The sequence below is a fragment of the Homo sapiens genome, chromosome 1, assembly GCF_000001405.40.
Source record: "Homo sapiens chromosome 1, GRCh38.p14 Primary Assembly".
NCBI lineage: Eukaryota > Metazoa > Chordata > Mammalia > Primates > Hominidae > Homo > Homo sapiens.
The window spans coordinates 39512185-39525473 of NC_000001.11; the positions used below are offsets into that span (position 1 = coordinate 39512185).

At 56.5% G+C, this 13289-nt stretch overlaps 1 protein-coding gene and 2 pseudogenes across 14 annotated transcripts in view, besides 3 other annotated features; 2 read left to right on the plus strand and 1 right to left on the minus strand.

Annotated features, from left to right (window-relative positions):
• BMP8A (bone morphogenetic protein 8a) overlaps positions 1-13289 on the plus strand; it is a 38234-nt gene that overhangs the window by 20549 nt on the left and 4396 nt on the right. Inside the window, exons 4-6 of one of the 8 annotated variants that reach the window (XR_946642.3) lie at positions 125-233; positions 327-498; positions 987-1179. Coding sequence is in view for 5 of the 8 variants with exons in the window: in NM_181809.4 (NP_861525.2) it covers positions 9192-9386; positions 10219-10298; positions 10823-10933 (386 nt within the window). In the remaining 3 variants the exon portion in view is untranslated. The other 7 variants (NM_181809.4, XR_946641.3, XR_946640.3 and 4 more) reach the window with 7 other exon arrangements.
• Positions 2533-2622: a silencer, noted in NCBI's record as "silent region_702". NCBI's record gives its function as "represses an Ori minimal core promoter by ATAC-STARR-seq in GM12878 lymphoblastoid cells {active_cell/tissue: GM12878}" and the evidence as "EXISTENCE:reporter gene assay evidence [ECO:0000049][PMID:35858748]".
• On the plus strand, positions 2682-4485 carry OXCT2P1 (3-oxoacid CoA-transferase 2 pseudogene 1; annotated as a pseudogene). The gene has a single exon (NR_132962.1). The product of NR_132962.1 is annotated as a 3-oxoacid CoA-transferase 2 pseudogene 1 (transcript).
• PPIEL (peptidylprolyl isomerase E like (pseudogene)) overlaps positions 10096-13289 on the minus strand; it is a 37419-nt pseudogene continuing 34225 nt past the window's right edge. For 2 of the 5 annotated variants that reach the window (NR_003929.2, NR_144354.1), the window contains one exon: positions 10096-10321. The product of NR_003929.2 is annotated as a peptidylprolyl isomerase E like (pseudogene), transcript variant 1 (transcript). Of the gene's footprint in view, positions 10322-11373; positions 11514-11622; positions 11713-12651; positions 12874-13289 lie in introns of all 5 variants that reach the window. The other 3 variants (NR_144356.1, NR_144355.1, NR_144357.1) reach the window with 3 other exon arrangements.
• Positions 10431-10932: an enhancer, noted in NCBI's record as "H3K4me1 hESC enhancer chr1:39988287-39988788 (GRCh37/hg19 assembly coordinates)". NCBI's record gives its function as "activates a minimal SCP1, AML or CMV promoter by ChIP-STARR-seq in naive H9 embryonic stem cells {active_cell/tissue: H9 hESC(naive)}" and the evidence as "EXISTENCE:reporter gene assay evidence [ECO:0000049][PMID:30033119]".
• Positions 10933-11432: an enhancer, noted in NCBI's record as "H3K4me1 hESC enhancer chr1:39988789-39989288 (GRCh37/hg19 assembly coordinates)". NCBI's record gives its function as "activates a minimal SCP1, AML or CMV promoter by ChIP-STARR-seq in naive H9 embryonic stem cells {active_cell/tissue: H9 hESC(naive)}" and the evidence as "EXISTENCE:reporter gene assay evidence [ECO:0000049][PMID:30033119]".

The following is a 13289-nucleotide window of genomic DNA, read 5'->3' on the forward strand; positions in this document are numbered from 1 at the left end:
GGAGGCTGGGTTTGAAGCCCAGCTTGGCAGTGCCCTGCCTCAGTGACCTTGGCTGGGACTTACCTTTCCAGACCCCGTCTTCTCTTCCGCAGGATGGGGATTCACGCCCTTGTTCATTCCACAGGTGACACTGGGGAGAGCCTCTTTTATGCCAGGCAGTAGGAATACAGAGGCCAAAGTGGGCACGAGATGGGTGTGTTTGAGGCCCGGCAAGGGGGCGCCATGGAGCAGCGGTGAGGGCGGGGGACCCAGGGGCCATTCTGAGTCAGAGTAAACCAGGGCCAGGTGCTGGGGTTCTTAGCGTCATTTATTTTATTTACTAGCAGTGGAGGACGACAGGATCTGATTCAGGTTTTAAAAGAGAACCCTCTGAGATGCCCCCCTCTCGGGGTGGAGCAGAGCTCCCCACCCCTTCCGTGGGCTGCACCCAGTGACTTGCTTCCCGAAAGTGCGGTGTGGACAGGGCGTGGGGGACCTGACGCGCAGCGCCTCAGCCAGGTGAGGAAGGCTCACTGCAGTGACCGGCACGGTGCTAGCATGTGCCCTGGGTGAAAGGGAAGGAGAAGGCCACTGAGCCTCAGAGGGCCCCCTCCGTGAACCCGAAACCCCAGTCCAGCCACGAGAAAACCGTCAAACAAACCCAAAGAGAAGGGCTTTCCGCAGAATACCTGACAAGCGCTTCTCAAAACCGCCAAGCTCATCAAAAAAAAGGGAAGGTTGGGAAATTGGAGGAGCCCAGAGGCACCTAAGAAGACCAGCTCAGTGCATGTGGGGTCCTGGGTTGAGTCCTGGACCAGCAAAAGGTCATTAGGGAGAAGTTATGAAATCCAGATCGATCATGGTGTTTACTTAATAATAAGGTATCAGTATTGGTTCATTAGTTATGAGAAAGGTACCCTGCTAGTGTAAAATATTAGCATTTCCCAGAGGAAACTGGGTCCAGGTGTATGGGAACTCCTTGTGTAGTTTTTTTTTCTTTGAGACAGGGTTTGGCTCTGTTGCTCAGGCTGGAGTGCAGTGGCGCAATCACAGCTGACGGTAACCTCCAACTCCTGGGCGCGAGCGATCCTCCCACCTTAGCCTCTGTACTATCTTTACAAAGTTTTATGTAACTATCAACTGTTGTAAAATTAAAACTTAATATATGCATAAAATAAAGAACCCCCTGACTTCAGTGGAGAGAGCAGACTGAGATGGACAAGAGTGAAGTCAGAGAGACGTGTGGGGGCCCCACAGTGGTCCAGGTGGGCGCTGTGAGTGACTTGTTGGTAGCAGTGGAGATGGAGAAAGATGAGTCGATTTCAGTGTCAGGACATGCTTATAGCTGGCGAGGAGGTGAGGGAACAGGAGGAAGCCTGAATGATGTGTGGTTGGAGCCAGTGGATTTTTTTCAATAGATTTTTCTTTTTGGGGAAAAGATAGATGAAGGGCAGGTTTGAGGTGGGTGGCCAAGGGTTCTCTTTTGGCTGGAATATTACTGACCCCCCTGGGATGTTACTGAGATCACTGGTCCTCATGGAAATGCCATTACAGGGACCGGTGAGCGTGAAGACCCAGGCGAGGGAGGTGCTGGCATGTAAGTGGATTTAAAGCATGGGATGGGACCAGGTCATCTAGGGAAGGAGGGTAGTGATGGAGAAGAAAGAGGGCCTGGCCCAGAGCCCTGGGACCTCCAACATCCAGAGACCTCACAAGGAGGGGCCACAGAGAGCCCACAGAGACCAGCCAGGGAGGGAGCAGGACACCTGGAGGATGAGGTGATCCAGACGCCAGAGTAAAGTGTTTCCAGAAGCAAGGGTTTGTCATTTGTGTCCTGCTGTGGGCACTGAAGGCAAGAACAGAGAAGTGACCAAGGGTTTTGCCATCACAGAGGTTGTTGATGACCTAAATATCCGTGGAGTGTGGGTCTGACTGAGGAGGTGGAGGGAGACAGGCAGTGGAGGCAGGAGACAGCTCTTTCCAGAACCTTTGCTGGGGAAGGGGAGCAGAGACATGGGCTGGGGCTGGAGAGAACCCGGGACAAGGCAGGTCCTTTCCAGGTGAGGAGACGCCTGCACGCTGCTGTGGTGATGCAGTGATTCTGTGCAGAGGGAAGAAAACTGCAAAATTCCGCACAAGTTGGAGCAGGGAGCTGGAGTGGGGGAGGTGGAGAGGGCGGGGGGATGCAGAGGACAAGACGGGGGGCCTCTTCAGAGCAGGGACCCTTCCTGATGGAGGTGAGGGATAGTGTCCCCACTGTCGCAGTGAGGGGTGAACCTGAGCTCTGGGAGGCTGTAGTGGGGCAGGCACTCACTCTCCGGGTTGTCACAGGATTAAAGGAGGGTGCTTGGCACAGAGTGATGCCCAGTGAAGGTGTTCATGAGCGTCGGTGTCACCCAGCGGCGCCTGCTCATTGGACACTTGGTGTCTTTAATGAGCTGGGGAAGCTGGGGGGAAGCTTGGGCGGGGTGGTTGGAGTTTGTGTCTGAGGCTCCACTGGGGCAGGAGGGGACCTAGCCTGTGCCCTACTCGCGGAGCCTGACCTCAGCTCTGTCCTGCGCCCGGGCCTGTGCGCTGGACACGGAGGACTGACTCGGGGCCCCCAGCCCAGGGCGGAGCCGGCCCCCTCCCTGTTGCGGGTCGCGGGCCTGGCCTAGAGCCTGCGCCTGGCCGGGGAGACCTGCTGGGAGGGAGTGCGTCAGGGCGCGGGCGCCCGCCCTGCTCTGTGACGCGCGGCCCGAGGCGCACGCAGGGCTCACACCACTTGTCCTGGCCTCCGACCCGGGCCGACTATGGCGGCGCTGCGGCTCCTGGCGTCAGTGCTCGGGCGCGGGGTCCCCGCCGGCGGCTCAGGGCTCGCGCTGTCCCAGGGCTGCGCCCGCTGCTTTGCCACCAGTCCCCGGCCCCGTGCCAAGTTCTACGCGGACCCGGTGGAGATGGTGAAGGACATCTCTGACGGGGCGACCGTCATGATCGGGGGCTTCGGGCTCTGCGGGATCCCCGAGAACCTGATCGCCGCGCTGCTCAGGACCCGCGTGAAAGACCTGCAGGTGGTCAGCAGCAACGTGGGCGTGGAGGACTTCGGCCTGGGCCTCCTGCTGGCCGCCAGGCAGGTCCGTCGCATCGTCTGTTCCTACGTGGGCGAGAACACCCTGTGCGAGAGCCAGTACCTGGCAGGAGAGCTGGAGCTGGAGCTCACGCCCCAGGGCACCCTGGCCGAGCGCATCCGCGCGGGGGGCGCCGGGGTGCCCGCCTTCTACACCCCCACGGGCTACGGGACCCTGGTCCAGGAAGGGGGCGCCCCCATCCGCTACACCCCGGACGGCCACCTGGCGCTCATGAGCCAGCCCCGAGAGGTGAGGGAGTTCAACGGCGACCACTTCCTTTTGGAGCGCGCCATCCGGGCAGACTTCGCCCTGGTGAAAGGGTGGAAGGCCGACCGGGCAGGAAACGTGGTCTTCAGGAGAAGCGCCCGCAATTTCAACGTGCCCATGTGCAAAGCTGCAGACGTCACGGCGGTGGAGGTGGGGGCTTCCCCCCAGAAGACATCCACGTTCCTAACATTTATGTAGGTCGCGTGATAAAGGGGCAGAAATACGAGAAACGAATTGAGCGCTTAACGATCCGGAAAGAGGAAGATGGAGACGCTGGAAAGGAAGAGGACGCCAGGACGCGCATCATCAGACGCGCAGCTCTGGAATTTGAGGACGGCATGTACGCCAATCTGGGCATAGGCATCCCCCTGCTGGCCAGCAACTTCATCAGTCCCAGCATGACTGTCCATCTTCACAGTGAGAACGGGATCCTGGGCCTGGGCCCGTTTCCCACGGAAGATGAGGTGGATGCCGACCTCATCAATGCAGGCAAGCAGACGGTCACGGTGCTTCCCGGGGGCTGCTTCTTCGCCAGCGACGACTCCTTCGCCATGATCCGAGGGGGACACATCCAACTAACCATGCTTGGAGCCATGCAGGTTTCCAAATACGGCGACCTGGCGAACTGGATGATCCCTGGCAAGAAGGTGAAAGGCATGGGCGGTGCCATGGACTTGGTGTCCAGTCAGAAGACCAGAGTGGTGGTCACCATGCAGCACTGCACAAAGGACAACACCCCCAAGATCATGGAGAAATGCACCATGCCGCTGACCGGGAAGCGGTGCGTGGACCGCATCATCACCGAGAAGGCCGTGTTTGACGTGCACAGGAAGAAAAGGCTGACGCTGAGGGAGCTCTGGGAGGGCCTGACGGTGGACGACATCAAAAAGAGCACGGGGTGTGCCTTTGCTGTGTCCCCGAACCTCAGGCCCATGCAGCAGGTGGTACCCTGACGGGACCTGGATCTGGGCGGGGTGGTGCGCTCCTCAGGGCGGATGCCACCGGGTTCCCCAGGGGAATACATGTCCCCAGCTCTGGGAGGGGTTTGCTACTGGCCTCCTACTTTCCTCCCTAGGTGGACAGTGCTCCTCTAGAGAGCTGCGACTTTAATTAAAAACAACAGGAAAACAGATCAGTTCCTCACTGTGTTTCTCGAGCACTGCAAGGCGCAGGTCTGCAGTGGTGAGGAATGGATGTCCGCTTTGCTCTGTGATGTTTACACAGAGCGTGCACAGCTCAGCGCATTCACAGCAAGATTTGATTCAAGCGCCTCCCTCGTACTTGAACCATGAAATGGAGATAAAAACTGACGAGGGAGAAAATCACTCAACCCAGAGTACACCTGAAGGGACATTTTACTACTGCAGTGAGAAATAGGCGAGCAAAGATGTGAGTTTGTGATTGGAAGACATGCTATCTTCATGAGCTTGTTTTTTCTTTTTCCTTCTCTTTCTTTTTTCTTTTTTTTTGAGGCAGGGTCTGGCTCTGTCACTCAGGCTGGAATGCAATGGAATGCAGTGATCTCACTGCAACCTCTGCCTCCTGGGCTCAAGCAATCCTAACTCAGCCTCCTGAGTAGCTGGGACTACAGGCGCACATCACAATGCCTGCTTATTTTTTTTTATTTTTTAAATTTATTTATAGAAATGGAGTTTCACCATGTTGCCCAGGCTGGTCTTGAACACTTGAGCTCAAGCGATCCACTTGCCTCAGCCTCCCAAAGTGCTGGGATTACAGACATGAGCCACTGAGTTGGGCCAATTAACCTTAGCTTACTGTAATTTTTTTTTCTTTTTTAGACAGAATCTCACTCTGTTATCTAGGCTAGAGTACAGTGGTCCAGTCTCAGCTCACTGCAACCCCTGCTTCCTGGGTTCAAGCAATTCTCATGTCTCAGCCTCTCAAGTAGCTGGGATTACAGGCATGTGCCACCATGCCTAGCTAATTTTTGTATATATATTTTTAACAGTAGAGATAGGGTTTCTCCATATTGGCCAGGCTGGTCTCAAACTCTGGGCCTCAGGTGATCCACCTGCCTTGGCCTCCCAAAGTACAGGCTTGAGCCATTGCACCCGGCCTTCTTGAACGTTTTTATCCGTTATCTGGTATTTCTTCTGGGGCCTTTGTTGTTAAATTTTGTTTCCCTGAAGCCTCCCCTCCTCCTCCCACATCTCTCCTCCTGGGACCTATGAGATGTTAAGCTTCTAGATGTCCGTAGAAGGAAAGCAGGACCATCTCCAAGGGAAGGGACCGGGTGATGGGAGAGACTGAGAGGGGAGAGGCTGCCGGTCCTGAAATCCACCAGGAAGCTTCCTCTATCTGTGTGTGGCCAAAGGCTACAGCCTAGGACAGGAGGAGTTCTAGAACCCTAACCAAGGGACTAGATGAGTTTTCTCAGCTTCATTTGAATTGTTCCTGCATCATTCACACCAGACACTTAGGCCCTCCTCTCTGGGATGGAGGCCCAAACTGGCCACTTGTGTGATGGTCCGTTGTAACCCAAGAGGCTGCGAGGCATTTCCTCCTGAATCTATAGTCTCAAAAACTAAAATTAAGATTGTGTGTGTGTGTGTGTGCGCATGCACGCGTGCACACGTGCTGTTGACAGCCAAGCCTGGCCTGGTGCATGCACTGCATAAGTGTAGCTCTGGGGGTTCCCAGGCCATTGGGGGCATGTGGTCAGAGTAGTAAGTTCTCACTGGTCAAGGACAGACTTTCCAGGGGCCCATTGGAGCCTCACCCTGCAGGAAAGGCCAGATCCTGGGAAGGAGAGCAGGGCAGGGAGAGTTGGCGCTCATGGAGGGCACAGACTGGGGGTGTGGAAAAGGGGCCAGGGACTATGGCTGGGGTTGGGGGCTTGAAATGAAATGTCATCTAGTGGGCAGTGGGGTGCCTTTTGGGGCTCCTGGAGAGGGGCACCTGATTTGCCCTGGGCGTCAGTTTCCCAGGAGCAGTGTGGAAAAGGCTGAGGTATCTAGAAGCGGACAAGTGACCCTCTGGGCCTCCAACTCCACCTTTCTGGAAGGGGCCTGCCCACAGCTGGGCAGCCTGAGAGCCCCCCACCTTGACTGCTTGGCCTTCCCTGCAGCCAGCTGGAGCCAGGGAGTCCTGCCTAAGAATGGGTGGGTAAGAAGCAGAGCTGATGGAGAAGGGAGGCTCTGGGCTCTGGAAGGAGAGGGCTGGGGATGGGGGAGCTTCTCCAGGCCTGCCAGATGCAGGGCTCTGAACCCAGACCCACTGTTAGTCCCCTTCACCACCCCCCATCTTGCCCAGCCACATCCAGCTGGGCCCTGCAGTTTGCTGGAAAAGTATATGACAATCCTGGCTCCGACCCACCTTGCTCTGGGACCTTGGACAGTTGCTGCTCTCTCTGGGCCTTAGTTTCTGCTTCTGTAAAATGGGAACCTGGGATTAGCTGCTTCCAAGGTTTCAAGGCTCGCCTGGCCTGTGAGACCTACAGAGGGGTTCCCAGCACCCAAGCCAGGCCTGGCTCAGAGGGGCTCTGTGAGGGTCTGTGGTGTAACTGATCTAATGCGACATTCTATCCTGTGTCTGGGAGACCCCCCATAAGACCCTTGAACACAGCTGCACAGAAGCAAATAGTGAGGAAAGCCTGCAGGACTGATGGCCTCTCAGGCCCCATAGCAGGCAGGGCTCCCCAGGGAGTCACAGGACAGAGCTGCAAGTGGAGCCAGGAGGGCTGCCCTGGGCCCCAGGCTGTCCCCATGGGTCAGCCAGTCTGCAGAGTGACACTCCAGTGCCCGGGCTGGTGACCACCACCACCCCACTCAGGCTGCTCTGTTCTCTCTCCGTTGTGACCTCACTTGTCTTTTCCTCTGTGCCCCAGCTCTGTTCCTTGTATTTCTGCTGCTTCCCCATAACCTTGACTCACCGTGACTCAAGCCCTGCCCAGTGGATTCTCTCTGGGCCTCCTTCCCATGTTAGCATCTGCAGCTCACAGCCTCCCTGTCTCAGCAGCTCTTGTCCATGCTCGTGAGAGGGAGGGAGCCTCTCCTGCCAGTGCATTTGTTTGTGGCGGATGATGTCACGGGTCAAAGGTTGGTCTCTGGATTCACTGGTTGTTCAGTCAAGTGGCCAAGGGACACCAGGGCTGAGGCACAGCTGCTTAAGGGCTGACCTTTGAGTGGGACTGAGGGTGGGGCAGGCAGTGTCCTTGACCTGTAGGGTGTACTGGAGAACTACGTAGGAATAAATACATCTGTGTGTGTGATGTCTGTCTGAGCGTATGTGCATCTGTGTGTTTATGCAAACATATGCCTGTGTGTACATACGTGTGTACATCTGTGCTTATAACATGGAGGTGAAATGTACTTTCGTGTAAACTGAACAACTGGCACTGTTTAAAGAGACATGAAAATGAGCTGGTAATCATGCTTCTGCAATTCAGTATCAGGAAATTTCACCCATGCACGGAGTGAAGAGGCTCCATTGCACTCCCATCTTTATCATGAAAGCCGGGAAATAACCTACATGTCTATGATGAGCCAATATCAAGTCAATTACGGTATACTGCTCCAAGGGATTTTATAAATTTGAAATGTTTATTGTGGAGACTTATTTAAACAACCAGAAAAAGTTTTGTGTTTTGTTTTTTTTTCCTTGAAACACACTCTCATTCTGTCGCCCAGCTGGAGTGTGGTGACACAATCACACCTCACTGCAGCCTCAACCTCCCAGGCTCAAGCAGTCCTCCCACCTCAGCTTCCCGGGAAGTTCACCACCATGCCCAGCTCATTTTTGTTTTTATATTTTTGTTGAGACAGGGTCTCACTATGTTGCCCAGGCTGGTCTCAAATGCCTAGGTTCAAGCAATCCTCCCACCTCGGCCTCCCAAAGTGCTGGGATTACAAGCGTGAGCCACCTTGCCTGGCCTCAAAAGTTTCTTTACTTAATTGCTTTTACAATAGAAAGGTTATTGAAATCCAAACAAGTACAGGATGATACACAGTTTTATTGGTGAGGCTTGGCATCTCCAGGGTTAGTTATCATGTTTTCAGCGGCATCCTCAGTCTGGAAGCGGCTGTGGGGGACAATCCCGTTTACAGGCTTCACTCCTCCTGGGGCTGAGGCCCAAGTCAGATCTCTGTTTCAGCCTTTTCTTTCTTTCTTTTCTGTCCATAAGCCCAGCTCGTGCATAAGAACTCGGGCTCTGGAATGAGACTGCCGCAGGCTGCAACCTGGGCTCTGGGACTTGGTTCAATGTTTCTGCTCTGCCTGGCATCTCCCTTGTGGGCATCAGGGAGACAGTTAATGCCCTGCTCTTGGGCTGTGCCCAGCAGAACAAGCACTCGCTCAACCTGGCAGATGCTACCACGAGCTGTCTCGGTGATAAGTTTGACATTCACACCCCAGAAAGTGCGGGACGGAAGACAGAACACAGGTCTCGGCGTCCTTGGACCAAGGTGGGAGCGCTGGTTCTCGGAGTCACTGGCAGTAGGACTCTGGGTCTCCTGTGAAGTAGGAGCTGCAGGGTCACTGTAAGGACCCAATGAGGTGATCCATGGGAAAAATCTTCCAACTTGTAAAACACTTCACAAATGTTATTATTTGTGACGCAGCTGTCACTAATAACACCGCCTGCAGCTCACTGAGCACCCCCTCCCACCTCCTCCAAATCTGTCCCCAGGAGAGACGTGGACTGGCTGGGGCTGGACCAAGGACTCCAGGCTTCAGATGTGGAAACTGAGGCTCAGCAGGACCCCTTGGGTCCTCAGCCTCCACGCTCCTGGACCTGCCCAGGCCCCGGCAGAGAGACCGCTGCTGTGTCTGCTGCAGGGCCGCTGCCCGTGAGTGACCCCTCTCTCCTTTCTGTCTCAGGGCACAGCGTGGATCCTGGCCTGGCCGGCCTGCTGGGTCAACGGGCCCCACGCTCCCAACAGCCTTTCGTGGTCACTTTCTTCAGGGCCAGTCCGAGTCCCATCCGCACCCCTCGGGCAGTGAGGCCACTGAGGAGGAGGCAACCGAAGAAAAGCAACGAGCTGCCGCAGGCCAACCGACTCCCAGGGATCTTTGGTGAGGGTCGGGCAGGCTGGGGCCGAGGCCCTGTGGGCTTCTGGCTGAGAGAGGCAGGGCGAGAACCAAGTGGTGGCCCAGAGCCCTCAGGCTCAGGTCGGTTCAAGCTGACGGCCACTCTCCAGCCACCTTTCCTGACACCATCTTGGCCCTGATGCACCCTGGTGACCGGCACTCCGGAGGCCTGTCCTGGCTGTCCCTGCTGCCCAGAAGTCTCCCTCTCTCCCCCTGGCTCCTCCGGGTCTTTCTCAGGAGCCTCCTTCAGAATCAGCTGCCCCTTCCCTGGGAGCCGCAGCCCCTCATGACCTGCGGTTGTGCCTGGGCACCCTGTGGGATCCTCGGTTGCTTATGCGAGTTTTCTCCCCAACTGGGCCAAGCCCTTCAGGATCAGGGACAGGCCTGACCCAACCCCGTGCCCTCCTTCACCAGGGAGTCGGCCCTTGACTGGCCTGGTCGTGAGCCACTTGAACCTCGGGAATGGGTGTGGCAGGAGAGGGTGGGCTGGAGTCACAGGGGTCTCCAGAGAGGAGGAGGCACAGGATGGCCGAGGGTCCTGCTGGGCTGTTTACTGGAGCATAAAGACGCTCATAGGCTGAAGGACAGGGGAGGACTGGGCACAGTGTCACTCTAGCCATTGGGAGCCATGGCAGGCTTTTGAGCTGGGTCATGGTACAAGCAGCGTTCCAGGGATGGGCTTTATGAGACCAAATGGTTTCCTGTCATTCATTTATTTGACAAATGTGCTCATCAGGGCATCCCCCACCCTGGTACCCCATAGTAGCTGCACACAGCAGGAACCCCAGAAAAGACCTTGCCCCTTCTGTCCCTGCAGATGACGTCCGCGGCTCCCACGGCCGGCAGGTCTGCCGTCGGCACGAGCTCTACGTCAGCTTCCAGGACCTTGGCTGGCTGGTAATTGCTGACTCTCCTTGTTTCTGAAATGACAATCACCACCTGTAGATCAGAAGTGAATCTGCAGGGAGGACATAGAATCATGGTGACTTCAATTTTCTTATGTATTTTTTTCTTCTGTGTTTTCCAAGTTTTCTAAAGTGAGAATATGGTGAGAAAGGGTTTTGTTGTTGTTGTTGTGTTTTTTGTTTTTTTTAAAACCATGAAAATGAAGACTGAATCAACCAACTAAGCTGTCAGCATTGCCGCAGGGTAACTGAGACCTCCCTGCATTGGCTACGACTGCAGCTCTGGGAGGTGTGGGCAGGGGAGGGCCGGCTGGGGAGGGCCGGCTGGGGAGGGGACACAAAGTGAAGATGGGGGTTGTTGGGCCTGAGCTCCTGCCCAGCCTTTTCCGCCGGGGGTTCCTGGGTGGATTCAAGCCTCTTGGGGGAGACGGCCCTGCAGGGCTGGAGGATGGGTTTGGGCCCTGAGGCTCAGGGAGGAGCACATGGATGGGACTCACCTTCTCCCTTGCCCCCCAGGACTGGGTCATCGCCCCCCAAGGCTACTCAGCCTATTACTGTGAGGGGGAGTGCTCCTTCCCGCTGGACTCCTGCATGAACGCCACCAACCACGCCATCCTGCAGTCCCTGGTCAGTACCGTGCCCATCCTGCCCAGCCCCCTGGGGTGGGAGGCCCTGCAGAGAGGGGTCTGGTCCAGCCAGCCGGGAGGGCAGTGAGGCCACCTGCTCCATGTCTCGGGGGCTTTGTCTGCACAGAGTCAGTAACGTCGCTAACTTCCCACAGCTCTGCAGGAACTGGTCCTCATACAGCCACACTACTACACATAGACCCACACCCAAACACGGACACACGTGAACAGTCGCGTATGCATGCCTGTTCTATGCACTGAACAAACTCCTGTGGGACACTTACACACCTGCGTGCGGCGCTCAGAGGCACAGCACATGAAACAGATGTGTACACTGTGTGGGGGCTGTGTGATCTTAACACACGGGCCCCCGAGTACGCTGGCAAGTCTGACCGCCTGTGATATGTGCGCACAGTGTGTGGGGTGTGCGTGTGCACTCACCCACCTGTGCCGCACCACAGGCAGGAAGCTTCTAGATGGTGTGGCTCTCAACCTTTTGGCTTTTTCCCGCAGTTTCTCTCTTGGCTGTCTGTGTTTTCTCTGGATCCCCTGGCTTTTGATGCCTTGGTGTCTGGGGCAACCTTAAAGGACAAAAGCAGGCTTCTGATGGGATCACTGGTGCTGCTCACCACTGAGTGCTCTGTGTGTTTGCGGATTCTGGCACCGAGGCTTCCTTCTAGAAGTTTTTACCTAGAATCCCAGTTCCTGGTATTGCACAGCCTTATGTTTTCCTCTTAGGAGGTTCAACGGTGATGCCTTGATCAGGCGCAGTGGCTCACCCTGTAATCGCAGCACACGAGCCCAGAAGTTCAAGACAAGCCTGAGCAACACAGCAAAACCCTGTCTCTAAAATAAAAATTAAAACACACACACACACACACACACACACACACGTGCGCACACAATGCCTTGGTGTGAGAGGAAAGAAATTACCAAAAGCTGCTCTGAGCCTATGATAATACTTCCTTTCTGGGCAGTCAAATGGTGTTTGCTGGACACCTGGAGCCATCTCCTTGGAAAGGCCCAGGGGTGATGAGGACGCGTGGGGTGGCCTGGCCCAGCCACCCTTTATGCCGTGTGGTTCTCACAGCTGCATGTGTGGGAGGTACATGGGAAGGTGACTGCACCTGCAGCTCCTGGACTCCATCTCCTCTGCCCTTGCCCCTGCCCCTCAGGGGCTCAACTAGAGTGAGTGCTCACAGCCTACAGGGCAGCAAACAGGCACTGTGCTCTAGGGGAGGCTGTCGGTGGGCACAGAAGCAAACCAACCGTGGAGTTGACACCTCCTGTGAGGAAGAGCAGAGCAGCCGTGCCGTCAGTGGAGTGAGACTGGGCCCAGCCTCTCCACACAAGGAGGGGCACGTCAGCAGCTGGAGGAGGAATGTTCCAGAAGGAGCAAGTGCAAGGCCCTAAGACAGGAGCAGGCTGGCCCTAAGTTCAGGGCCAGCAGGGAGGAGAGGGGCTGGGTGCAGTGAAGGGGAGGAGAGTGGAGGGAGGTGATGCCGGGGTGAGCCAGGCCAGCTCCCGTAGGGCCTGGGGTTCCCTGGGAAGGAGGGTGGATTTTATTCCAAGCAACCCCAGAGGCTGTCAGAGGTCTTCAGCAAAGCAGTGTCCTGGTCTGCGTCACCCTCCAGAAGGACCTTTCTGGCTTGGGGAGGCTGATGGTCGCGGGAGTGGAAGGCAGAGGAGCAGGGGATGAGTGAGGGCTGCTGTGGTCACCTGGCAGGTGATGGCAGCTCGACTGGGCAGGTGGTCCGAGGCAGCACGGAGGTGGAGGTTGAGCCAGGGGCTGCTCTCAGGGAAGGGAGGAGGCGAAAGGAGTCATCCAGGAGGCCTCCCAGGCGGGAGCTATGATGTCAGGGCGGGAGGAATTCTATGTTCCACTGAGGCCTCATTAGACCCCCAAGTGCAGAAGTGGGAAGGGGAGCAGGATCCGCAAGTCTGGAGTTCAGAAGAGAGGTCCAAGCTGAGCCAGGGGAGTGGAGAGGTGCGGGCACATGCAGGGCCTTGAAGTGCTGAGGGCGGATGCAGTCCTCTGGGAGAAGGAGCAGCACAGGAGAGGGGGCGAGGCCTGGCCTCCCAGAGCCTGGGGAGGGAGGCCAGGGTGTGGGGAGGCAGAGCCTCTGGGGGGGTCTGAAGGGCTATAAGAAGACAGTGGTCCTTCCAGGTTCCCCCTTGGGGACCTCACTAAGGGCACAAACCTGGCCATGAGGTTCTCCTTCCCATTATCCCCAGGAGGAAGTCTGAGCCCTTGGCCTGGGACTCGAGGCCCCTCATTAGTGCCCTGCCCACCTGCCCCACACCCTGGGGCTGCCATGTATCCCTCCCTGGGCACTGTGGGCCACCACAGCTCCCGC